We start from the raw sequence: 27,197 nt of genomic DNA on the forward strand, positions 1-27,197 counted from the left end.
AAAGCAGCAACGGCATCCTCTGCACTGAAGAGATTAAAGATTTGCTACAGCACCTCAAGGAGTAAAGCAGTGGCCTCAGCCTTCTGTAACTGGCTCCATCCAGTTCCTTTGTACTGCCCCCAGGAAGTACAAAGTCATATCTGTTCATTAGACAGGAGGAAAGAAAGTCTCCTCATTGTCTCTGAAGCATAAATATTCCCCTGCTGATCAAACCTTGGCTCTTTGGTGGTTCACAGCCATGAATGCTGCAGGGAGGCCTAAGAACATTGCTAGCACCATTGTTATAAAGATGGAGGAGGCCACTGAAAATCTTGTAGGTGCTACTGGCCTGGCTACATGTGTAGTGTGTGAATCTTGGTCCTCAAGCTATCTGAAGATCTTTTACCATGTTTCCCTTTTAAATCAGGAACACAATAGTTTTCACTTCTGGAAGGCCTGCACCTGGGACAAGTGTCCAGGATTGTAGTAGAGGTGGCTCTCTCTTCCACTCTTTTCTTATTGGTATAATGACTCTTTCAGTTGGTGCCAATATTCATTGTGCAAATCCTAGTTATTTTCAGGTATAATGGGTGAGGGAATTTAAATTCCAAAACCAGCATTATTTTCATCTTTTCATGGCACCATCTCACCTCAAAAGTAATTGTCATGTCTCTAATGACACCCTATGTTCTGAAGTGACAAAGTCTAGCTTGATCAATACAATATGCACACAGCCATGTGTCCTGACATCCAACTCTTCCCGACTCAACCCCCTTTGGCAGGGCATAGGTTACTTCTGTCAGTAAGATATTCCTGTATTAGGTGGTTTCAGGTGTGCTCAAAATATTCCCTAGCTTTCTTACCATTACCTAAGCACTTCCTCAGTTTACTAAGTGTGAATATAACTGAGAAAGTAGTGAGATGTAACCTTATATCCTCCTGACACTGGTATCAGATAGTTTGACAGACTACAGATGACTCCATCAAACAAATATTTTCTGCATTCCCATGCTCTCATTACCAGATATGCAATACAAGTCACAATTTATACCTCCACCCATGTGCATTTATCATTAATTCTAGACCAATATACTCAATTGTCAATGAGATTTCTACACTTACATTGTTTTCCAGTCACCTTAGAAAGGATGTCTACTATTGTTTTTTTTTCCAACATGATTCATAGCTAAAATTTTTGTTATATATACACATCATTGTCCTTTAGTTCTTTTTGCAGTATTTCTTTTTTTAATTTCATTTTTAACCTTTATTTTAGGTTTGGGTATACATGTGAACACATGTCTACATAGGTAAACACGTGTCACGAGGGTTTGTTGTATACATCTTTTCATCGCTCAGGTATTAAGCCCAGTACCCAATAGTTATCTTTTCTGCTCCTCTCCTTCCTCTCACCCCCGACCCTCAAGTATACCCAAGTGTCTATTGTTTTCTTCTTTGTGTTCGTAAGTTCTTGTCATTTAGCTCCCACTTATAAGTGAGAACATGCAGTATTTGGTTTTCTGTTCCTGAATTAGTTGGCTAAGGATAATAGCCGCCAGCTCCATCCATGTTCCCGCAAAAGACATAATCTTGTTCTTTTTTATGGCTGCATAGTATTCCATGGTGCATATGTACCACATTTTCTTTATCCAGTCTGTCATTGATGGACATCTAGGTTGATTCCATGTCTTTGCTATCGTGAATAGTGCTGCAAGGAGCATTTGCGTGCATGTGTCTCTATGGTAGAATGATTTATATTCCTCTAGGTATATACTCAGTAATGGGATTCCTCAGTTGAATGACAGTTCTGCTTTTAGCTCTTTGAGGGATTGCCACACTGCTTTCAACAACGGCTGAACTAATTTACATTCCCACCGACAGTGAATAATTGTTCCCTTTTCTCCGCAACCTCACCAGCACTTATTTTTTGACATCTTAATAATAGCCATTCTGATTGGTGTGAAATAGTATTCATTGTGTTTTAATTTGAATTTCTCTAATGACCAGTGATATTGAGTTTTTTTGTCATTAAAGTGAAAGAAGAGAAGTGATTTTCCACCTACACAATCACCAAGTGTAAGTTCACAAAATATAATGCAGCAAAATTGGGAAGTAGGGACTCTGGCAGCAGGGACGAATGAAGGCCAATGTTGACACACACAAAGGCAGGAAAATGGCTCCATCTTTAGGGTGCTCAGGATGCTCTTTGGCAGAATAATGGATATTAGCCTTGCCTGAATATTCTACCTGGTTAACAAATCCACTCAGGCAATGAAATGCTTGCTTTTAGACACCTAGAATTAAAAGACGGGGGATTAGGTAAGCCAAAAAATAGCTGCTCTTAATGTAACACTGAGTTTTATTGCATGCTTAATATGGACCATCCAGTGTTCTAAAGTCTGGGACACTAAGGTCCCAGCACTAGGCACGGTGCTGCTCAGCCAGCCTGCTGGTGAATCTGATATAGGTAGCCCAAGGGGCTGTTTTGCAGACCCAAGACCTGGGTGCAGGGCATCCAAGTTAGAAAGAGGAAGTCAAATTGTCTCTGTTTGCAGATGACATAATTTTACTTATAGTAAAACCTAAAGATTTGGGTGCAGGGCGTCCAGGTTGGAAAGGAAGAAGTCAAGTTGTCTCTGTTTGCAGGTGACATAATCTTATATCTAGAAAAACCTAAAGATGCTACCAAAATAACCCTTAGAACTGATAAATGAATTCAGTAACTTTGCAAGATACAAAATTAACATACAAAAATCAGTGGTGTCTCTGCACATGAAAAACTAGCTGGAAAAAAAATCAAGAAGGCTTCCTGATTTCAGTAGCCATAAAAAAGTAATAAAACGCCCAGTAATATGTCTAAACCAGGAAGTTAAAGAGCTCCAGAAGCTAAATTTCAAAACACTAATGAAAGAAATTTAAGAGGATATAAACAAGTAGAAAGACATCTCGTACTCGCAGCTTGGAAGAATTAATATTGTTAAAATGAGACTACCACTGAAAGCAAACTACAGATTCAATGCAATGCAATCCCTAACAAAATACCGATGACATTTTCTATAGAAATGAACAAATTCTAAAAATTTTATGGAACCACAAAAGACCACTAATAGACAAAGAATCCTGAGGAAAAAGACAGTACTATTCAGCCATAAAAGAGAGTGAGATTCAGTCATTTGCAGTAACATGAATGGACATTTATCCAAAGGAAAGAAAATCGTTATATATAAGAGACATCTGCATCCCCATGTTTATTGAAGCATTCTTCCTGATAGCCAAGATGTGAAATTAACCTAGTTTGCCAACAACAGATGAATGGATAAACAAAATGTGGTACATATAAAGAATGAAATACTATTCAGCCATGAAAAGAATGAATTCCTGTCATTTGTGGCAACATGAATGGAACTGAGGACATTATGTTTAGAGAAATGAGGCAGGAGCAGAACATTAAATACTGCATGTTTTAACTCATATCTGGAAGCTCAAAAAAAAGTTGATTTCATAGAAGTAAAAAGTAGAACACAGAGGCTACCAGAAGCAAGGAAGTGACAGTGAGAAATTTGTTAACCAATTTCCCATTTAGAAAACAGTGCAGCTTATGACCAGCACTCATTTCTTGGGGCAAATGGTAAATGTGATAAAGGACGAAATTACAGCTAGATAGGAAGTTAAGGTCTAGTGTTTTATACCAGGAGTCCCCAACCCCCAGGCCATAGACTGGTACCGGTCCATGGCCTGTTAGGAACTGGGCCACAGTGCAGTGCAGCAGGAGATGAGCCATGAGCGAGCAAGCATTACTGCCTGAGCTCTGCCTTCTGTCAGATCAGCCATGGCATCAGATTCTCATGGATCAAACCCTATTGTGAACAGCGCATGCCAGGAATCTAGTTGTGTGCTCCTTATGAGAATCTAAGTAATGCCTGATGAGCTGAGGTGGAACAGTTTTGTTCCAAAACCACCACGCCCCAGTTTGTGGAAGTGGGAAAATTGCCTTCTGCAAACCCAGTCTCTGGTGCCAAAAAGGTTTGGGGACCACTGTTTTATACCACTGTAGGATCTAGTTTACAGTAACATATTATATAGCTGTAAATAGCTAGAAGGAGGACACTTGGAGGACTGTTCCCAACACAAAGAAATGATAAATGTTTGAGATGATGGATATGCTAATTACCCTGATCTGATCACTACGTGAGTATTAAAACATCACTATGTTTGCCATTAATAGATACAATTATCTGTCAATTATTAAAAAGAAAAATAGAAATTTTAAAAAATTAATTCAATCATTTTCAACAAACCTTTATTTGTATTACACTCATTGTGTAAAATCTGGACGGATGAACTGTTCTAAACATGCCAGCAATCCAAGGTGAAACCCTTACGGAGGGTTGAGATCACTGGCTTGTGCAAAAGGGCCTGTTAAACAGCCAAGGAATAGATACGAACAAGGGCAACAAAGATGTTACAAGTAAATTTAACTGACTGACTTTAGATTCTAAGTAGACAATTTAAAAAAAAATTATAAGGGAGTAGATCTGTCCTCCCAATGGAAAAACAAAGTCTAAGGATTAATGCAGAGAAATATGTTAAAATAAATATTAATCTATCACTTGTAGACCCTTGGAAGCCTATTTATTTTTAACCCTTGAGCTATTTTGTGAGTTTAAGAATAAACAAAAAGCACCTAACAATTTTTGGTCTACTGATAGTACCACCATGTAAGGTCTGACTTATCTCCTTTAGGACTTCACTAATTTATCAGGAGACCTTCTTCAGGCCAGCATGCTGATCTCATTCCCAAAGATGACAGCACTGTTTCTTACCTCCAGCTCAGACTGGAATTAATCGTGTGTACTGATAGAGTCCAGTAAAGAATCCTCTTCTGTATCTTTCCATCCAATAGTCGAGTTTTGAGTGCTGAAGAGACCTTTGATGACTAAAATGGAAGAATATTATGCAGTTCTTGCACAGAAGTGAAGGGTTTTAAAGAGCTGCTTACCAAGGAAAGTCTGGCTTTAATGCCAGACTCAGCCCAGCTTGCCTACTGTGGTTGATTCACTAGATGAAGGAGATAAGCATTTCCCTAGTTCACACAGCTCACAGCAATCAGAAAACATACCATGCTACCTTTTTGAGGTTAGTAGCCCTTTGTTCCCCATATCATTAATCCTTCATTTTTTTGGCCTTGTCAAGGAGAGACCAAATTCACAGAATGTGTGTGTGAAATGTAAGGAGTTGGGACATCGTTTTTCTACAACTGAGAAACCTAAGCTTCAATCATTTGATGATATTTAGGTGACACTAGTATAGAACCAGCATGAGTATATCAGGGTACATATCAGAAAGAATCAGTTTTTAATAAAACAAATAAATTTTATTATCCATTTTTTGGATGATTCAAAAGAAAGAAATAAAAGGCATTCATTAACAAATCTCTCACCTTTGCCCTCTCTCCTACCCCATACAGAAAACACACTAAGACAGGTACACCATGGGAAAAAATAGTCTTTTTAACAAACAGTGTTGGAAAAACTGGTTATGGACATAGAAAGGAATTAAGTTGAACTCCTACATTACATACAAAAAGTAATTAAAATTGAATTAAACATCTAAACATAATACCTGAAAACATGAAACTCCTAGAAGAAACCTACAAGAACAGCTTTATAACAATGGATTTAACAATGGAATTATTGGATATGATACCAAAAGCATAGGCAACTAATGTAAAAATAGATAAAGGAAACTACATCAAAATTAAAAGCTTCTGTGTCTCAAAGATACAATCAAAAGAGTTAAAAGAGCAATCTTAAAAATGGAAGAAAGTATTTGCAAATAATATATCTAATAAGGAGTAATGGCCAGAATCTATAAGGAACTTCTACAATCAACAACGTGATGAGTTAATGGGTTCAGCACACCAACATGGCACATGTATACATATGTAACTAACCTGCACGTTGTGCACATGTACCCTAAAACTTAAAGTATAATAAAAAAAAAGCATTTAACTTAATTTTAAAAGGGAAAAGATTTGAATAGACATTTATTTAAAGAAGACATACAAATGTTCAACTAGTATATTTCTATGGTCTGAATGTTCCTCCTAAATTCTTATGCTGAAATCCTAACACTGAGGTGATGGTATTAGAAGGTGGGCATTTTGGCAGGAGATTAAACCATGAGGACAGATCCCTCATTAATGGGATCAGCCCCCTTATAAAAGGGACCCCAGAGAGCCAAATTTCCTTCCAGCATGTGAGGATACCATGAGAAGACATCATCATTTGAGCCAAGAAATGGGCCCTTAGTGGACTCAGAATCTGCAGGGGCCTTGATGTTGGACTTTCCAGCTTCCAGAACTGTGAGAAATAAATTTCTCTTATTTGTAAATTACCAGGTTGTTGGTACTTGTTATAGCAGCTCTAACAGACTAAGGTACATATGGAAAGATGCTCAACCTCACTAACTGTTAGGGAATACAAATCAAAATCACAATGAGATAGCACTTCACATCCATCAGGGGGTTACTATATAAATAGATGATATAGATGTTGATATTGTATAGGTATAGATAGAAATAAATTACAAGAGTTGGCAATGATATGAAGAAACTGAAACCCTTGTGCCCTGTTGATGGGAATGTGAAATCGTGCAGCCTGGTTGCAATGAGAAACAGCACAATGTTCCTCAAAAAATTAAAAATAGAATTACCATATAATCCAGCAATTCCACTTCTGAGTATATGTCCTAAGAATTTTTTAAATAAGCGTTTGAAGATATATTTGTACATAATGTTTGTAAAAGCTTTCATCAGTATAGCCAAAGGTGGAAGAAACCCAAGTGCTCGTCAATGGATGGATGAATAGATAAATAAAATGTGGTATACGCATATAATGGAATATTATTCAGCCTTATATGCATTCTATTAAACATAGTACAGAATATTATTCAACCTTATACAATGTAATATTATACTGCATTATATTATTCAGCAAAATATGATATATATGTATAATAAAATATTATTCACCTGTATTCTGACACATACTACAACATGAATGAACTTTGAGGACATTATGCTAAGTGAATAAACCAGTCACAAAATAACAAATATTATATTATTCCACTTGTATGAGGTATCTAGAGAAATCAAATTAATAGAAACAGAAAGTAGAATAGTGGTTGCCAGGTGCTGAGGTGTGGAGGGAGCCAGAAGGAATGTGGAGGTGCTGTTAAAAGAGCATAGAATTTCAGTTTTGCAGGTTGGAAAAGTATGGAGATTAGTTCCACAATGGCGGGAATACATTTAACACTATTGAACTGTATACCTAAAAATGGTTAATATGGTAAATATTATGTTAACTGTATTTTATTTTAATTTTAAAAATATGTAACAAAACAACATTATTCCACTGGGAAAAAAATGACAAATATAACTTGGCTAAATTCTGCCTAACCAAGAGGTGATTATGAGATGAGGTAGAGAGGAATTGAAATTGGACAAGGATGTAGGTCAAAAGCAGTAGATGGGCATATGCCCAAGGAAAAGTCATCATTCCTGGTCTAGGGGCTGGCCTTCAGATTTGGGAAATCCAGCCTTCACATAGTTGAGGACATATCAACCAAGTCAACAGAGTTTACACACAAATGGTAAATTTTTGAGAGTACAGTATTCTCTCTGGATAACGGGTGTTAATTGCACTAAGTTCTTTCTTAGTGGATTAATAAACTCAGAACAGTAATCATTTTCTTGTCATCACTGTCACAAGAAGCAAGGAAATGAATAATTTCAAAGGATGCTTCCCTCAACTCAATAGTTAAATAATGAGGAGAGTGTCAATAAGAAGAATAAAATCGCTAAATTCTAGAAGGTGTTTATTGTAAGCCATGCATTGTTGTAACACTTACAAATCAGTCCTCATTTTACCCCATTTCAAACACCCACATTTTTCATATTTATTGAAAACTTACCAGTGCTCAGTTCCATTTAATCACTGTAGATATCATTGTGTCTGATGGTTAATTTTAGGTGTCAACATGACTGCATTAGGAATACCTAGCAACCTGGTCAAGCATTATTTTGGGGTGTATCCCAAGGTGTTTCCAGGGGAGATTATCAGTGCTCTAGGTGGGTAAGATCCGACCTCCATGTAAGCAGGCACCATGCAATCTGCTCTACAGTCCAAAGAAAACAAAAACTCTATCTGTGGGTCTATCTGCTGGAACTGGGATGAACTCTTTCTCCCCTGTCCTTGGACAACAACTCCAAGCTCCCCTACCTGTGTACTCTAGGGCTTAAACCAGAAGCCACCAGGTTCTCAGGACTTTGGTCTGGGACTGAGAGTTACATTATCAGCTTCTCTGGTTCTGTGGGGAGCTTCAGACTTTGAGTGAGCCACACTACCAGCATCCCAGGGTCTCCAGCTTACAGATGGCATGTGGCATGGGAGGGGCTTTTCAGACTTCATAACTGCATGAGCTAATCCCTCTAATGATGTATTTGAAGGATTAGCTCGTGCAGTTACGAAGTCTGAAAAGCTTTTTAACTTAAAAAGATTTGAGGGATCACAATAAATGATAAAATGTAATTCCACTGATTTTGTCTCACTGGAAAACACCTGAGTAATGGAAAACACCTGAGTCATACAGTGACCAAAGCAGACAGTGAAGTTTCTATTATTATATCCATTTATAGAAAAAAAAGACAGAAGTGCAGGGAGCTATTGAATTGTGGAGCCACTGTCTGAATCCAGAAAATCTGACTGAATCGTCAGGTCTTACATGCTCCCTGGGAATATTTTGGCCATAAAAACCAGATGTGATTTCTAGACTGATCAGTGCTTTTCCAGTAGAGTCTTGCCTAAGTAATGACAGGCTCTTTCTCTTCAGCCATTATTCTTTTTCTTCACTGTAAAGTCTCATTTGCTTATGCCAGTCATGTTACATCATGAATAAATTGGGTCCTATTTTACTTACACTTGTTATATCCTACTTTTTGTTTTCCTAAGTATTTACTTCATAGGTCTGAATGCATTTGAAAAATATTTTGTTCATCCCAGTAATATACACAACATACATAATTGTGGCACAGTTATCAAAACTGAGAAATTTATAGTGGTACAGTATTACTAACTAAGCTTCAGATTTCAACAATCTTTTACTAATATTATTTTTCTGTTTCAAGAATCAATCCAGGATCCCACATTGCACTTAGTTGTCTTATCTCTTTAGTCTCCTTTAATCTGTAACACGTGCCCAGTCTTTCCTAGTCTTTCATGATCTTGAGACTTTTAATTAAAATTGGTCAATTATTTTGTAGAATGTCCACTGATTTGAATTTGTATGGTATTTTCTCATGACTAGATTGAAGTTATAGATTTAAGGGAAGAATACAATGTCATTGCCAAGATGTTGACCTGCCTGCCTATGTGCACAAATATGTATGACTCACACAGACACAGAGTCACATGGAGCCTTTTCCACAGGTCCCAGACTGCACATTGAGTCAGTGTGTGAAACCACCCTAATGCTCTGGCAGGACTCCCGGTCCAGGTGTCTTGGTGGCTATCTAAAAAGTTGGTGTGGTGTCCTAGCATCATCAGTGCAACATGTAGCTTGCTTCACATGGAATCACAGTAATTTGAGCTCATTATAACCCTTTGAACAGGCTTAGCTGGAATTTCCATTTATATGAGGTTTTATTTGAATGTGTCTTTGATCTTTAAAGGTTTCATAATCACCAGCTTCATGATTAACTGTGACAAGCTGTTATATGACAGACCTTTAGATACTCACATTAATGACTAATGATTCAAATTTGTTATTTATCTAGGTTTAATGTTCTTGTTTCATGGATCCTAATCCTCAGGAAGTGTTCAAATTCTAAATGAGCCTACTCAGTGCAGAGTACACCAACTGGAAAGAGAAGAAACGGAACTAAACTGCCATTGTCTTCTTCTTCTGAATTAACTAAGTTAAATTAATAAATTTTGTAAAAGTCTTTGCTGTATTAGGAATTGTGATCTTGCAATGCGCATTGCTCTGCAGATAAATCTCCTGCCAGAAGACAGACTTCTGCATAAACAGAAAAGCCTGGTCTCCACAGACTTGGTTGCGGTCTTGGTGCATTTTCGTCATCAGTGGCTCTCTTCACCTAAAAATGTTTTAATAGCCTCAGAGTAAAATGGAACAGCCTTTTATTTTCTTTTTGCTAAGCTAATGTTACATCATTATAACAGGGACATTCCCTCTTATCCAGAAATATTTATAAGAAAAGAAAAACAGCCTTTCATATAAGAGTTTCTGAAAAACCTAGAACTTTCATTCAACGTCTGCTTTAATTTGTGGTTTTGTACTCTTAAGGGGAAATTGGTGGACAAAACCCACAAGAGAACTGAGAACAGCTGTATGAAGAGGCAATGCAGGTTAATGAAGAGTGAAGAGAAGAGAACAGTGCGGATTTCTAGAAGAAGAGGAAGGAAATTATTGTGATATGGGAGTTAAAAATGGGATCCAGAAAAACAGGGAGGAAAGGGGGAAGTGTGCCAGGTCTCAGAACCAGCAAAGGTTGCTATGTATATTTCACTTCAGTTTAGGAGACTAACTTTATATGGAAGTATATTCTGGAATTCTGAGAGCCAGAAAGGGAATGTGCCAGGTGCCAGAATCAGCTAATAAACATCATATATCTTCTGCACTTCAATCTAGATGGTGCTTCTTCTCTCTCAGGTATTTATACAAGCCACCATTTCCTGACTGAATACAAATAGCAAACTTCTTTGAAATAAGGAGGGATAATTTTTCAACCCCTCCAGATTTTTTGACAGAATTCTAGGTTTTTAGTTTGCCTCCTTTGGAGATGGGTTTCTGAAAGGGAGGACGTAGTTCCTAAGAATGTTATAGAAAGACGAATAATATTCTCTTCTCTAGCTGGATGAAGGAAAATAGAAAAATACCTGCCATATTTTAAATCCTTACTCTGTGAAGGATACCACACACAGTGCTTTAAACTATATGTGTTCATTTAGGAATAACAACTATATAAATATTTGAACCCATTATATTTATAAAAAAACTGAGCTCCTGCAGCCTCTGCACTGTGCTGCCACCACTGCCACTGTGAATGCCTACATGGAGTCCAACACCCCTGCACTCACCAGTGCCCCACTGCAGTCAATGAGCATTTGCCTTCCCAAGCTGCTGACACATGCAAATGAGGAAGGATCCCACTGCCACCACTCTATGAATCACTGTGGCTGGCACCACCTATCAGAGTGTTCTGACCAGTGGTTCAGGAGCAAATTAGGCCCCTTCAGCATGGCAGGTTGCGAATCTCCAGGGGCCCCAGAATGAAGCTTCAGGCCTGATAGTAGACACCCACAGTAGGATCATGCAGTTCAGGGCTCCTAAGCTGAGCCTTGGCCCACTTAAATCCCCATAGATTAAGCCAATTGACTGAACCCACATTATAGCAAAACTAAACCCCAAAGAATGTTACATAGGATAAAAGAAATAAAAGCAATCCAAAGGTTAGCAACTTCAAAGATTGAAGGACCATCAGCCCACAAAGATGAGAAAGAACCAGTTCAAGAACTCTGGCAACTCAGAAAACCAGAGTGACTTCTTACCTACAAACATCCACACTAGTTCTACAGCAATGGTTCCTAACCAGGCTAAGATGGCTGAATTGACAGAAATAGAATTCAGAATATGGATAGGAATGAAGATCATCGACATATAGGGGAAAGTTGAAACCCAATCCAATCCAAGGAGTCTAAGGATTACAATAAAACGATACAGGAGCTAATAGATGAAATGGTCACTATAAGAAAGAATCAAACTGATTGATAGAGCTGAAAAATACTGTACAGGAATTTCATAATGCAATTGCAAGTATTAACAGCAGAATTGACCAAGCTGAGGAAAGACTCTCAGAGCTTGAAAACTGGCTCTTCCAAATAACTCAGTCAGAGACAAATAAAGAAAAAACAATAAGAATAAACAAAACTTCCAAGGAATATAAGATTATGTAAAGAGACCCAATCTATGACTTATTGGCATGCCTGAGAGACAGAGAGAGAAACCAAGCAACTTGGAGAACATATTTCTTTTTTTTTTCTAAAGGATGTATTTTTACTATGATCTATTATTCTTAATTATTTTCACAAAATTGCTGGTAATCCTTAAAAAGTTGTATTTTGTTGCTGATTAATGCCGTCAACTGAACTATCTCTGTAAAGCATAATGATATTTTATTTTATTATATTTATATATTTTTTATTTTATTATTATTATACTTTAAGTTTTAGGGTACATGTGCACAACGTGCAGGTTTGTTACATATGTATACATGTGCCATGCTTGTGTGCTGCACCCATTAACTCGTCATTTAGCATTAGGTATATCTCCTAATGCTATCCCTCCCCCCTTCCCCCACCCCACAACAGTCCCCAGTGTGTAATGTTCCCCTTCTTGTGTCCATGTGTTCTCATTGTTCAATTCCCACCTATGAGTGAGAACATGCGGTGTTTGGTTTTTTGTCCTTGCTATAGTTTGCTGAGAATGATGGTTTCCAGTTTCATCCATGTCCCTACAAAGGACATGAACTCATCATTTTTTATGGCTGCATAGTATTCCATGGTGTATATGTGCCACATTTTCTTAATCCAGTCTATCGTTGTTGGACATTTAGGTTGGTTCCCAGTCTTTGCTATTGTGAATAGTGCCGCTATAAACATACATGTGCATGTGTCTTTATAGCAGCATGATTTATAAACCTTTGGGTATACACCCAGTAATGGGATGGCCAGGTCAAATAGCATTTCTAGTTCTAGATCCCTGAGGAATAGCCACAGTTTCTTCCACAATGGTTGAACTAGTTTACAGTCCCACCAACAGTGTAAAAGTGTTCCTATTTCTCCACATCCTCTCCAGCACCTGTTTATTCCTGACTTTTTAATGATCGCCATTCTAACAAGTGTGAGATGGTATCTCATTGTGGTTTTGATTTGCATTTCTCTGATGGCCAGTGATGATGAGCATTTTTTCACGTGTTTTTTGGCTGCATAAATGTCTTCTTTTGAGAAGTGTCTGTTCATATCCTTCGCCCACTTTTTGATGGGGTTGTTTGATTTTCTCTTGTAAATTTGTTTGAGTTCATTGTAGATTCTGGATATTAGCCCTTTGTCAAATGAGTAGGTTGCGAAAATTTTCTCCCATTCTGTAGGTTGCCTGTTCACTCTGATGGTAGTTTCTTTTGCTGTGCAGAAGCTCTTTAGTTTAATTAGATCCCATTTGTCAATTTTGGCTTTTGTTGCCATTGCTTTTGGTGTTTTAGACATGAAGTCCTTGCCCATGCCTATGTCCTGAATGGTATTGCCTAGGTTTTCTTCTAGGGTTTTTATGGTTTTAGGACTAACATTTAAGTCTTTAATCCATCTTGAATTAATTTTTGTATAAGGTATAAGGAAGGGATCCAGTTTCAGCTTTCTACATATGGCTAGCCAGTTTTCCCAGCACCATTTATGAAATAGGGAATCCTTTCCCCATTGCTTGTTTTTCTCAGGTTTGTCAAAGATCAGATAGTTGTAGATATGCGGCATTATTTCTGAGGGCTCTGTTCTGTTCCATTGGTCTATGTCTCTGTTTTGGTACCAGTACCATGCTGTTTTGGTTACTGTAGGCTTGTAGTATAGTTTGAAGTCAGGTAGCGTGATGCCTCCAGCTTTGTTCTTTTGGCTTAGGATTGACTTGGCGGTGCGGGCTCTTTTTTGGTTCCATATGAACTTTAAAGTAGTTTTTTCCAATTCTGTGAAGAAAGTCATTGGTAGCTTGATGGGGATGGCATTGAATCTATAAATTACCTTGGGCAGTATGGCCATTTTCACGATATTGATTCTTCTTAACCATGAGCATGGAATGTTCTTCCATTTGTTTGTATCCTCTTTTATTTCATTGAGCAGTGGTTTGTAGTTCTCCTTGAAGAGGTCCTTCATATCCCTTGTAAGTTGGATTCCTAGGTATTTTATTCTCTTTGAAGCAATTGTGAATGGCAGTTCACTCATGACTTGGCTCTCTGTTTGTCTGTTATTGGTGTATAAGAATGCTTGTGATTTTTGTACATTGAGTTTGTATCCTGAGACTTTGCTGAAGTTGCTTATCAGCTTAAGGAGATTTTTGGCTGAGACAATGGGGTTTTCTAGATATACAATCATGTCATCTGCAAACAGGGACAATTTGACTTCCTCTTTTCCTAATTGAATACCCTTTATTTCCTTCTCCTGCCTGATTGCCCTGGCCAGAACTTCCAACACTATGTTGAATAGGAGTAGTGAGAGAGGGCAGCCCTGTCTTGCACCAGTTTTCAAAGGGAATGCTTCCAGTTTTTGCCCATTCAGTATGATATTGGCTGTGGGTTTGTCATAGATAGCTCTTATTATTTTGAGATACGTCCCATCAATACCTAATTTATTGAGAGTTTTTAGCATGAAGCATTGTTGAATTTGGTCAAAGGCCTTTTCTGCATCTATTGAGATAATCATGTGGTTTTTGTCTTTGGTTCTGTTTATATGCTGGATTACATTTATTGATTTGCGTGTGTTGAATCAGCCTTGCATCCCAGGGATGAAGCCCGCTTGATCATGGTGGATAATCTTTTTGATGTGCTGCTGGATTCCGTTGGCCAGTATTTTATTGAGGATTTTTGCATCGATGTTCATCAAGGATATTGGTCTAAAATTCTCTTTTTTGGTTGTGTCTCTGCCAGACTTTGGTATCAGGATGATGCTGGCCTCATAAAATGAGTTAGGGAGGATTCCCTCTTTTTCTATTGATTGGAATAGTTTCAGAAGGAATGGTACCAGCTCCTCTTGGTACCTCTGGTAGAATTCGGCTGTGAATCCATCTGGTCCTGGACTTTTTTTGGTTGTTAAGCTATTGATTATTGCCTCAATTTCAGATCCTGTTATTGGTCTATTCAGAGATTCAACTTCTTCCTGGTTTAGTCTTGGGAGGATGTATATGTCGAGGAATTTATCCATTTCTTGTAGATTTTCTAGTTTATTTGCATAGAGGTGTTTATAGTATTCTCTGATGGTAGTTTATATTTCTGTGGGATCGATGGTGATATCCCCTTTATTATCATTTTTTTTGCGTCTATTTGATTCTTCTCTCTTTTCTTCTTTATTAGTCTTGCTAGCAGTCTATCAATTTTGTTGATCTTTTCAAAAAACCAGCTCCTGGATTCATCAATTTTTTGAAGGATTTTTTGTGTCTCTATTTCCTTCAGTTCTGCTCTGATCTTAGTTATTTCTTGCCTTCTGCTAGCTTTTGAATGTGTTTGCTCTTGCTTTTCTAGTTCTTTTAATTGTGATGTTAGGGTGTCAATTTTAGATCTTTCCTGCTTTCTCTTGTGGGCATTTAGTGCTATAAATTTCCCTCTACACACTGCTTTGAATGTGTCCCAGAGATTCTGGTATGTTGTGTCTTTGTTCTTGTTGGTTTCAAAGAACATCGTTATTTCTGCCTTCATTTCATTATTTACCCAGTAGTCATTCAGGAGCAGCTTGTTCAGTTTCCATGTAGTTGAGCGGTTTTGAGTGAGTTTCTTAATCCTGAGTTCTAGTTTGATTCATATTTCAAAATGTTGTCCATGAAAATTTTCCCAACCTCACTAGTGAGGCCAAGATTCAAATTCAGGAAATGCAGAGAATCCCTGCGAAATGCTACAGAAAAAGACTTTCCCTAGCACACGTAGTCATCAGATTCTCCAAGGTCTAAATGAAAGAAAAAATGCTAAAGGCACCTAGAGAGAAGGGGCACATCACCTACAAAGGGAACTGTGTCAGGCTAAAAGCAGACCTGTCAGCAGAAACTGTATAAACCAGAAGAGATTAGGAACAATATTCAGTTGTCTTAAAGAAAACAATTTTTAACCAAGAATTTTATATCTGGCCAAACTGCACTTTATAAGCAAAGGAGAAATAAGATCCTTTACAGACAGGCAAATGTTAAGGGAATTTACCACTAAATCTGACTTACGAGAGTTTCTCTAGGGAGTGCTAAATATGGAAAGGAAGTACACAGACCAATGACACTATAAAGAAATCACATGAAGGAGTCTGAATAATAACTATATAACAACATTATGACAGGATCAAATCCACACTTACCAATACTAGCCTTGAATGCAAACAAGCTAAATGCCGTAAAATTAAAAGGCAGAGAGTGTCAAGTTAGATAAGGAACCAAAACCCAACAATATGCTATCTTCAAAAGACCCATCTTACATGCAATGACACTCACAGGCTCAACGTAAAGGGGTGGAAAAAAAATCAACGAAGCAAATGGAAAATAGAAAAATGCAGGTGTTGCTATTCTAATTTCAGAGAAAACACACTTAAAATTAACAAAGATCAAAAAAGACAAGGAAGGGCATTACATAATGATAAAGGGCTCAATTCAACAAGAAGACCTAATTATCTTAAATATATATACCAAACCCTCAGAGACTATTACAAACACTTCCATGCACACAAACTAGAAAACCTAAAAGAAATGGATAAATTTCTGGAAACATAAACCCTCCCAAGACTGAACCAGGAAGAGACTGAATCTCTGAAGAGATCAAAAATGAGTTCTAAAGTTGAATTGGTAATACAAAGCCTACAAATCAGAAAAAGGCAAGACCAGATGAATTCACAGATACATTCTACCAGATGTACAAAAAAGACCTGGTAATATTTCTACTGAAACGATTCCAACAAATTGAGGAGGAAGCACTCCTTCCTAACTTATTCTATGTGGTCACCATCATCCTGACACCAAAACTGGCCAGAGATACAACAAGAAAAGGAAAACTTCAGGTCAATATCCTTGATGAACACTGATGTAAAAATCCTTAAAAAAGATACTAGCAAATGAAATACAGCACATCAAAAAGCTAACCCACCACAATTAAATAGGCTTTATCTCTGGGATGCAAGGTTGTTTCAAAATACACAAATCAATAAATGTGATTCATCAAATAAACAGAACTAAAGAGAAAAATATATTATTATCTCAATAGATGCAGAAAAGGCTTTTGATAAAATTCAACACCTCTTCACATTAAAAATTCTCAATAAACTAAGTATTGAAAGAATATACCTCAATATAATAAGAGCCATCTATGACAAACCCACAATCAACATCATATTGAATAGGCAAACCTGGAAGCTTTCCCCTTGAAAACTGGCACAAGACAAGAATGTCCTCTCTCACCAGTACTATTCAACATAGTACTGGAAGTCCTGGCTGGAGTAATCAGGCAAGAGAAAGAAATAAAGGACATCCAAATAGGAAGAGAAGTCAAATTATCCTTGTTCACAGATGGTATAATTCTCTATATAGAAAACCCCATATTCTCTGCCCAAAAGCTCCTCGAGCTGATACACAACTTCAGCAAAGTTTCAGGATACAAAATCAATGCACAAAAATTACTAGCATTCCCATACACCAACAACAGTCAAGCTGAGAGCCAAATCCTAAATGCAGTACATATATACCATGGAATACTATGCAGTCAAAAAAGAACAAGATCTTGTCTTCTATGGGAACTTGGATGGAGGTGGAGGCCATTATCCTAAGCAAACTAATTCAGGAACAGAAAATCAAATACTGGATGTTCTCACTTATAAGTGGGAGCCAAATATTAAGTATATATGGACACAAAAAAAGGAGCAACAGACACAGGGGCCTACTTGAAGGTGGAGGGTGGGATGAGAATGAGAATTGATAAACTACCTATTGTGTACTATGCTTATAACCTAGGTGATGAAATAATTCATACTCCAAATGTCTGTGACATGTAATTTATCTATATAGCAAACCTACACATCTACCCCTGAACCTAAAATAAAAGTTTAAAAGAAAATAACAGTGATATGTATTGCTTTTTTAATGTAGAAAGTATATTTTCAAAAGAAAACTGAGGCTCAGAGAGATTAAGTGGTTTTCTGAACATCACGCTTACATGTAAGCAGAATGTAATTTCAATGTAAAATTCTTTATTTTTATTTACACCTGAGGTATAAGCTTTGTATTCAGGATTTCTGTAATAATTATTACATCTCCTCTTACTACTGAGTTATATGCAACTCTCTGCCGCACTCTGAATTTCTCTTTGGTTCACGTATTTTCAGCTGGTTTTGGCCAAAAGTATAAAGAGATTCTCTCATCCAGTTTCCCATTTTATTTCATGAGGGAAGTTTGTCATTTTTTCCTGACATGTAACATAGTATTAATCAAAATAATAATAAATTATTATGCAAATAATATTATGATTTAAATACATAAAATATTAAACATATTAACATGACTTGCCAATAGATTGAATCCACGAACTCTATTTTCAAAAAAGAAAAACTATGTAGATAAAAAATAGTACACATTCTTTTTCAAGTCCAACCTTATTTCCCCCCTCCATTTCCATGGCAAACATGTCACAATTATTTCCTACATATGGTTATCACTGATTTCTCTTCTCTGATTCACTCTTCCACCTACTCCAGTATGGTTTGTACTGATTAATTCTGCCAATCCAGCTCTCACCAAGATCTCCACCGCCATCTATTTTTCTGATGTTCTGGGCAGTTTTAATCCACATTTCCCATAAGTCTATTGATTCTTCTTCTAAGTACATTTATTTTCTAAATACATTTTTATCATCATTCCCTCTTGTCCTTCTAATGTTTAAGGTATTCCACCTCTGTTTCCTTTGTGTCTCTCCTCTTCCCTCTCTTTAATGGTGGAAGGTCCTCAGAATCTAGTTTAAGTCTTATTTTCTTCTCTACATTGGCTCCTCACATGACAGCCTCCATTTTTAGGCATTTGGTTGCCAGTTATGATCCTCCAGACATTGTATTCCTTGGATATTGCAAACTCATGTATCTGACTAGCAATGCACATTCGCAATTACATGTTTAAAAGTCAGTTTAGAGAGGCTAGCTCTGCTTTTATTTTTCTTTCTGGACGTGCCTCTATCTGCGTTCTGCTGAGAGCAATTCACTGTTTTTTTTCCTAGCTCACATTATAGCATTTAACATAACTCATATTAATCATAATTATTGTTGTTAAATTTCTGGCAAAAATCAAAGATACAAGGGAACAGGAATTGTATTTATTATGTTCACTTAAGAAAAATCTTCCTTTACTTAAAATTTGAATAAAATAATGATAGGTAACTGAACTGTACCATCTGTTTTTAATCAAGTTATACAATCAGGCTTGGAGTTTCATTTTAAAGAATAAACAAACAATTAATAGTAAAAATCTAATGAACAAAGCAAAATAATCAGTTGACAAAACATAAAGAACATATTTTATTATATTAGCCACAAAGTAAAGGTGGATGTAATATTACCTGAACAAACATAATTTAAAATAATTTAAATCTTATAAATAAATAAATATTTAAATAGATTAGATAGAAGACAGACAGATAGATAAATAGATAGAATAGATAGATTGGCATGATCATCTGTAAAGATTTTGTCCCTGTGGAGCTAAAGAAGTGTTGCTTAACACGTGTGAAACGTTTGAAAATTTTGATTCAACTCAAGTCATGGATATAGCAGAAATTAATATTTGAAACGGCAGAACTCAAGAAGTGTGAAATGGTGTACTAGTCAATGAGAATCATTTCGATGTTGAACCAGTTTTCATTCCTTCCTCCTTAATCTTTCTTGCAAGTTTGCTGATAAAGAGAAGGATCTCATGATTTCTGCTCTGACAACCTCCCATGCACAAGGGCTGTATTTCTTCTCTGTCAGATAGAGGGTGATTCTTTGAAAGTATTTTCTCACAGTCAGGATAGAGTCCACATTCATCAGAGGAGTGTCTTCCACTCCAACCTCCTGCATCATACAGGCTTCCAGGTCATTCAGCTGCTGGTAAAGTTCAGTGTAGAATTTGTCTAGAAGTGTCTCATCCCAAGTAGCAGATGAGTCCTTTGTGCTGAAGAGATTGAAGGTCTGCTGGATCATCTCATGGAGGACAGAGATGGCTTGAGCCTTCTGGAACTGGTTGCCATCAAACTCCTCCTGAGGAAATCCAAAGTCATGTCTGTCCTTCAGGCAGGAGAAAGGAGAGATTCTTCCCATTTGTGCCATTATCATCAAAGTCCTCCTGTTACTCAGGCTGTGGGTCTGAGGCAGATCACAGCCCAGAGAACAGATTGACTTGCAGTTGAGCACCACCAGGGCCATCAGTAAAACAAAGGGCAAGGCCATTGGGGAGGTTGCAGATGCTTCTGGGCTGTTGAGATTGAGTGACCCTGAACCTTGGGCTCTTCTCTGAAGACCTTGTTTTGTGCACAGATCTTAAAAAGGTCACATACGAGTTTCCATTTTCTGAATGCCTTGTGTTACTTTCTACTTCTCTTTTTGCTTTCTTTTATGCTCTTTCTACATAGATGTACAGGAGTGTTTCTCAGTTTATTTATTTTTACATTATTACCTCATCTTCCTCTGCCACATATGCTTTTTAGAAATTTTTTTTCTAACTAAAAATCCCATTAAATTTTAATAACACAGATATACTATGTGTTGGCTGATGTATATACATTACAGTACCCATTATCGAGAGAGAATATTGTACTTCTTTAATGCTTTAAAAGCAGCGTAATAGAATGTAAAATAGAATTTATTCAGTCCCGGATTAAGAATGAGCAAATGAAAATTCTAAGGTAAAAGTTAATAATTAAATTTACAATTTATGGATATTTAACTTCATAGTTCAATTTGTTTAAGTAACAATGTGATTTATTTACTTATATAAATTGTAGTGTGTCAGATTAAATAAGTAAATTAACAAATTATGAAAATATATAATATTGCCTAGTATAATGAAATATTTAAAAATTCAAAATAGCTAAAGACTATTAAAATTGAAATTATTTGTAACATTTATTTTTAGGGTACTTTCAATTTTGCTTCATAGGGAAATTTAAAAAATTCACTAGCTTCTAGATATTGATCTAGATATTGTCAAAAACCTTTTTCTCTTCAGTGCTTGACATAATTATTGATGTGTTGAACAACTTTAGTAGAATTAAATAGTAAAAGATAAAGTATTTTTATTGAAACCTCAAAACTCAAAACACAGTCATAAATGCTCAGGATCAAATATAAGCAACATACACAAGACAGCAAATGACAGCTCATATGTATACAGAGGCCACCTCACATGATATGACTTTGACATCTAATAAATCTTGGAAAGTCCTCCAATAACAGCCACCCATTTGCCATATGCTTGTAGCACTGATCTTGTATACCTTTTGTGTATCTTCCATGAACTCAAGGTCAATGCTTCTGATGTTACAAGAAAACCAAATTAGGCCAGGCGCGGTGGCTCACATCTGTAATCCCAGCACTTTGGGAGGCTGAGGTGGGTGGATTACAAGGTCAGGAGATCAAGACCCTCCTGGACAACATGGTGAAAGCCCGTCTCTACTAAAAATACAAAAATTAGCTGGGCGTGGTGGCACGTGCCTGTAATCCCAGCTACTCGGGAGGCTGAGGCAGGAGAATTGCTTGAACCAGGGAGTCGGAGGTTGCAGTGAGCCGAGACCACCCCACTGCACTCCAGCCTGGCAACAGAGCGAGACTCCGCCTCAAAAAGCAAGCAAACAAACAAACAACAACAACAAGAACTCAATTAAAAAAATACTAAGGAATAAAGTTTTGTCAGACAGAGTTGAACTTTAGAGGGCCCCAAGAAATAACTTTTACATTCTTGGAAGCAATATTATACTTAATGAGTATATGCAATGGAGAAAAATGTCATCAATTTGATTTTAAAAATATTATTTGTCATGAAAGGTCAGATTTCCAAAGAACCCACAGAGGTTCCAATTCTAGTTGATTCTCCTCAAACTGAAGAAAACCATTTTTGTCCTAAATGTCCATAGTGTAATGTAAATGTGATAGCATGAATGGGTTGTACAATTGTTTACATAGCATGCAGGATACCAGAGATCTTTCTTTCTCATTTTCATTTTCATTGAAAGTAAAGGTTGTCTCTTTTTGAATCCTTAAGAATGGAGACAAAAAGAAAAATGTATATCTAAATGTGATTTTAAAAATCCTACAGAATGGAGATAGAAAGAAAACAAATGTGTATCTAAATGTGATAAAAGAATCCTGATTCTTTTCTGGTCACTTGGGCTAGGAGATTCTAATCCTAAGTTAATTTGTTAGTTTTATTTTCCCCAGCACCATCTCACTCACAAGGCAGTTATCACAGTCAGTAACACCCTTTTCTCTAGAGTGACAATATCCTCTAGAGAGACAATATCTCACTGGGAAAAAAAGGATGACAAAATGCAACTTTCCTACATTCATCCCAGTAAAGAAGGAGATAAAGGAATGGGGAAGAGGAGAAGCAAAATCGTAGAAGATATGTAGATCAAAGGGAACAAATGGGTATGAGCTGAAAAAAAAGAGTAATCATTCCTGGTCCACGCAGTGTTTTCAGCTTTGCTGAATCCAGCCTTCATGGAGTCACACCAATCGCAAGAATTTGTACATAAAAAAAGGGCAATTTTTAAAAGAGTACCATGTACTCTTTGCATAATGAGTAAGTGTTAATTCTCAAGTTCTCCCTTAGTGTATAAATACATTCAAGAGATCAATATTTCCCTTATTATGTTTTTTACAGGAATCAAGGGAGTTAACAATTTTAAAGGACACTTCCCCCAATTTAATAAAGTTTAATAATGAAGATAATGTTTAAAAAAGGAAGGAGACAGGTAAATTGATGAAGGTGTTTATTTTCAGTCAGATATTGTTCTTAGAACTTACAGATTTGATTCTCATTTTACCAATAATGAATATCCTCTTTTTGTATTAACTGAACCCCTACCATATACCTACCCACCATTTATTCACTGGAGATATCAGTGACCAAAGAAGACTGATAGGTTCTACTATTATTCCTATTTACAAAAGAAAAAACAGAAGAACAGTGAGGTATTGAATTTGAGGCTACTATTTAAACCCCAAAATTGGACTCTAAATCCTCAGCTCTTACATGGTCTTTGGGAATATTTCTGGTCATAAGAACTGATTTCTGCATTGGTCAGTGTTTTCCCAGGAGAGTCCTGCCTAAGTAATGACAGGGTCTTTCTCTTCAGCTGTTCTTTTTTACTGAAACGTCCCATTTGCTTTTGCCAACATGTTACATTACAATTAAATTAGACCCCATTTTACTTACACACTATATTCTAGTTTTTTCTTCTTGAGAATGTATTTCCATAAGCTTGAATGTATTTGTAAAATACTTGGTTCATCATAAGCAACTCTTTGAAACCCTATGTATATCTACTCATTTATTCAAATATCCATAATACTTTAGATTTCTACCAGTTTAGTGCAAACCTAAGTAAGACTAAGCCATGATCGGGATATAAATATGATCTAAATCAGAAATAAACCAATAAGCTAAGGCTCAGAGATCAGGAAAAAAACCCTCTGGAAGGGCTGCCTAATAGGATTGGAGGTGTGCAAATGGGAAGCACTTCTGGAGAAATGTAGAGAGTCCAGGGCATTAGAGGAGGAGGACTGCAATGACAAAAGGTTCTGAGTTACCTGACTTTCCAGCTGGCTGATGCCTTTTATGTTGTAGGTCAGCAGAGTTTGCTACTGTGATGATTGTGCTGGCTTACATTGAGAAACTGGTAGAGAAAAAATTATGCTAACACTTGGTATTACAGTAATGAAGACTTTATTTAGGACTATTGCGACAGATGTCAAAACTATCACAATAGGGGAGAGAGATCAATCTGGGCTCAACTCTGAATATGACACAGACAGCCTGGGATTTGTAACCAACAAGCAGAATGACAGGATCTGTGGATGGAAAATCAATAAGAAATATGGCCATTGGGAGGGCCATTGGGAAATGAGGGTTCTGCAGGCCTGGCTGAGCTGGGGTCTGGTTGAACTTTGGAACCTAGGTTCTCTGAAGACATTATTTCTATGCATGGCTTTCAATAGGGGACATCTAGTTTTTATTTTCTGAACATTTCTCTATATGTCTACTTTTTGTTTTCATTTACATATTGCATATTAGGCTTAAAAACACAACATCAATTGAGACCCTTAATTTTTGCAATAGAATTTGCACAGTAAACTTCAGGTGTGCCAATCTAAATGTACATTTATCAATTAAATGAGAACAGTCATTGTCATAAAGGCTGAAGTGTATGTAGGAATGTAAATACTTATATACTTTTTTCATACAAATATTCTTCTTTTCTGTGTCAGGTGAAAAGTTTTCAGCCCTGATCCTAGGTTGCATTATACCCTGCATGCATTACATAGGCTCTCTCTACCATCTGGGTATCTGTATTTGAGAATTTATCCGACCAGCTTTGACAATAAACCCTTTAGAAGAAAGAATTGGGTTTTGTCCATTGTTTCATTCATAGCAGATGCTGACGATTATTAGTTAGTGAGCCTCTCTGATTTTTCTATTTATTTAAAAATACATTCATGCAATTCCATGTGATTGTGCCTCACTGGAGCCGCAGGTCAGGATTAACGTAGAAACAGCCCTTTCTTCCCATCATTTTCTTACTCAATGTCTATAGTGCTCCTCAGGCTGTGATAATACCCCCATCAAGAATCCCGATTCTTCTCTGGTCATTTGGGCTGCGAGATTCTAATCCTAAGTTAATTTGTTAATTTTCTTTCCCCCCAGCACCACCTCACTCACAAGGCAGTTATCACAGTCAGTAACACCCTTTCCTCTAGAGTGACAATATCCTCAACCCAAACTCTTCCAGATTCATTCTCTGAGGCACAAAGTTAGAACTCCTTTACTAGGGAAAGGTCTTTTTCTTTGAGCCAAAATAATTAATGCTCCAAGATCTTTGCCCTTGCCCTTAGAGTGTTTGTGTGAAGGATTTGGCTTCTCAATGGTGATCTCCTCCTGTCCAGGGTCTGTGTCCTCAGGGATCAAATGTGTGCACAGTGCTCGGATGTTGATAGCAAGTTTCCTTTTATACAAATAGGTAAAGGAAGTATTCAATTGCCATAATTTTAACTTTAGCAAGCAAGTAACTTTTATTTTGACAATTAGAGCTTTTATCAGTCAATCAGTCAACTCTTTCATTTTTCTTCTTTTTTTTTTTTTTTAGACGGAGTCTCGCTCCGTCACCTAGGCTGGAGTGCGGTGGCACGATCTCGGCTCACTGCAAGCTCTGCCTTCCAGCTTCACATCATTCTCCTCCCTCAGCCTCCCGAGTAGCCTGCACTACGCCCGGCTAATTTTTTGTATTTTTAGTAGAGACAGGGTTTCACCATGTTAGCCAGGATAGCGTCAATCTCCTGACCTCGTGATCCACCCGCCTCAGCCTCCCAAAGTGCTGGGATTACAGGCGTGAGCCACCGCGCCCGCACACTTTCATTTTTCAATACTCAAAACTATTGAACACTTGTTAGGTTTGACCTTTCTGAGCTGGTCACAGGGGAGTCAAGGTTGATGTTGTCTCTTGTTAGCAACTAATATGACAGAAACTAGTGACTTTCAATTGTTCATCCAGTCAGTGTTTCTTTGGGGTTCTTTGTTCCTGGGTCTCTGCCTTGCTCTAACAGTGTAGGGCAGTTAGGGCCAGGCTATTCTGTCAAGAAGAAATAGGCTTCTTTCTTTTACCTGTATGTGTTTTTTTAGTTTAATTTTTTGTACTTTTTTGCACTAGTGATTTCTGGGCAAGCTTTGTCTTGCCATTAATGCATTACATTCTCATTCATGATGAAGTAACAAAAATTAAGGGAAGTAAAAGACAGGCAAAGGGGCCACAACTTTTTTTCTATGATTTCCATGATTTCTGTTGCGGGAAGTCAGGAACCCCGAACAGAGGGATTGGCTGAAGCCATGGCAGAAGAACATAAATTGTGAAGATTTCATGGACATTTATTAGTTCCCCAAATTAATACTTTTATAATTTCTTATGCCGGTCTTTACTGCAATCTCTGAACATGAATTGTGAAGATTTCATAGACGCTTATCACTTCCCCAATAAAAACTCTTGTGATTTCCTATGCCTGTCTTTAATCTCTTAATCCAGTCAGCTTCGTAAGCTGAGGATGAATGTCGCCTCAGGACCCTGTGATGATTGTGTTAACTGCACAAATTGTTTAAACAATAAGAAATATGGGCACCTTGAAAAAAGAACAGGATAACAGCAATGTTCAGGGAACAAGGGAGATAACCTTAAAGTCTGGCTGCCTGTGGGCTGGGTGGAACAGAGCCATATTTCTCTTTTTTCAAAAGCAAATAGGAGAAATATCACTGAATTCTTTTTCTCATCAAGGAACATCCCTGAGAAAGAGAATGCATTCCCAGGGGGAGGCTTCTGAAATGGCCGCTTTGGGAATGTCTGTCTTTTACGGTTATAGATAAGGGATGCAATAAGCCCCAGTCTCCCGTAGCACTCCTAGGCCTATTAGGACGAGGAAATTCCTGCCTAATAAATTTTGGTCAGACCGGTTGTCTGCTCTCAAACCCTGTCTCCTGATAAAATGTTATCAATGACAATGCATGCCCAAAACTTCATTAGCAATTTTAATTTCACCCCGGTCCTGTGATCTTGCCCTGCCTCCATTTGCCTTGTGATATTCTATCACCTTGTGAAGCATGTGATCTCTGTGACCCATACCCTATTCATACACTCCCTCCCCTTTTGAAAATCACTAATGAAAACTTGCTGGTTTTGCGGCTTTTGGGGCATCATGGAACCTGCCAACATGTGATGTCTCCCCGGGACACCCAGCTTTAAAATTTCTCTCTTTTGTACTCTTTCCCTTTATTTCTCAGACCAGCCAACACTTAGGGAAAATAGAAAAGGACCCACATGAAATATTGGGGGCTGAATTTCCCCCGATAATTTCAGATTTTTTTTTTTCTCATTTCAACTTTCCTAGAAAGCAAAACTTGATTGTCATTTGTGGTTTAAAAAAAAAAGTGCAAATGTCATGAAAATGAAAGGACAGAAGTGCCTTTCTACTGACACATTGCCAAGTGTAAGTTAGTCACACACAATGCAGCAAAACTGAGAGCTAGGGCCTCTGGCAGAGGGGATGAATGAAGGCCAATGTGGAGGCACACAAAAGCAGGGAAATGCCTGCATCTGCCAGAGGCTCAGAGAAGAGTGACTGCTGAATCTATAAACT

The 27,197-nt window shown here is 37.4% G+C and overlaps 1 protein-coding gene and 1 long non-coding RNA gene across 2 annotated transcripts in view; one reads left to right on the plus strand and one right to left on the minus strand.

The window, feature by feature from the left end:
* LOC107987053 (uncharacterized) overlaps positions 1–27,197 on the plus strand; it is a 69,713-nt gene that overhangs the window by 17,419 nt on the left and 25,097 nt on the right. The gene's annotated exons all lie outside the window — the stretch shown is intronic.
* IFNA5 (interferon alpha 5) lies at positions 19,319–20,306 on the minus strand. The gene has a single exon (NM_002169.3). The coding sequence runs from the start codon at positions 20,247–20,249 to the stop codon at positions 19,680–19,682; it is 570 nt and encodes a 189-aa protein (NP_002160.1). The 5' UTR covers positions 20,250–20,306; the 3' UTR covers positions 19,319–19,679.

The sequence above is a fragment of the Homo sapiens genome, chromosome 9 (genome assembly GCF_000001405.40).
Source record: "Homo sapiens chromosome 9, GRCh38.p14 Primary Assembly".
Classification (NCBI taxonomy): domain Eukaryota; kingdom Metazoa; phylum Chordata; class Mammalia; order Primates; family Hominidae; genus Homo; species Homo sapiens.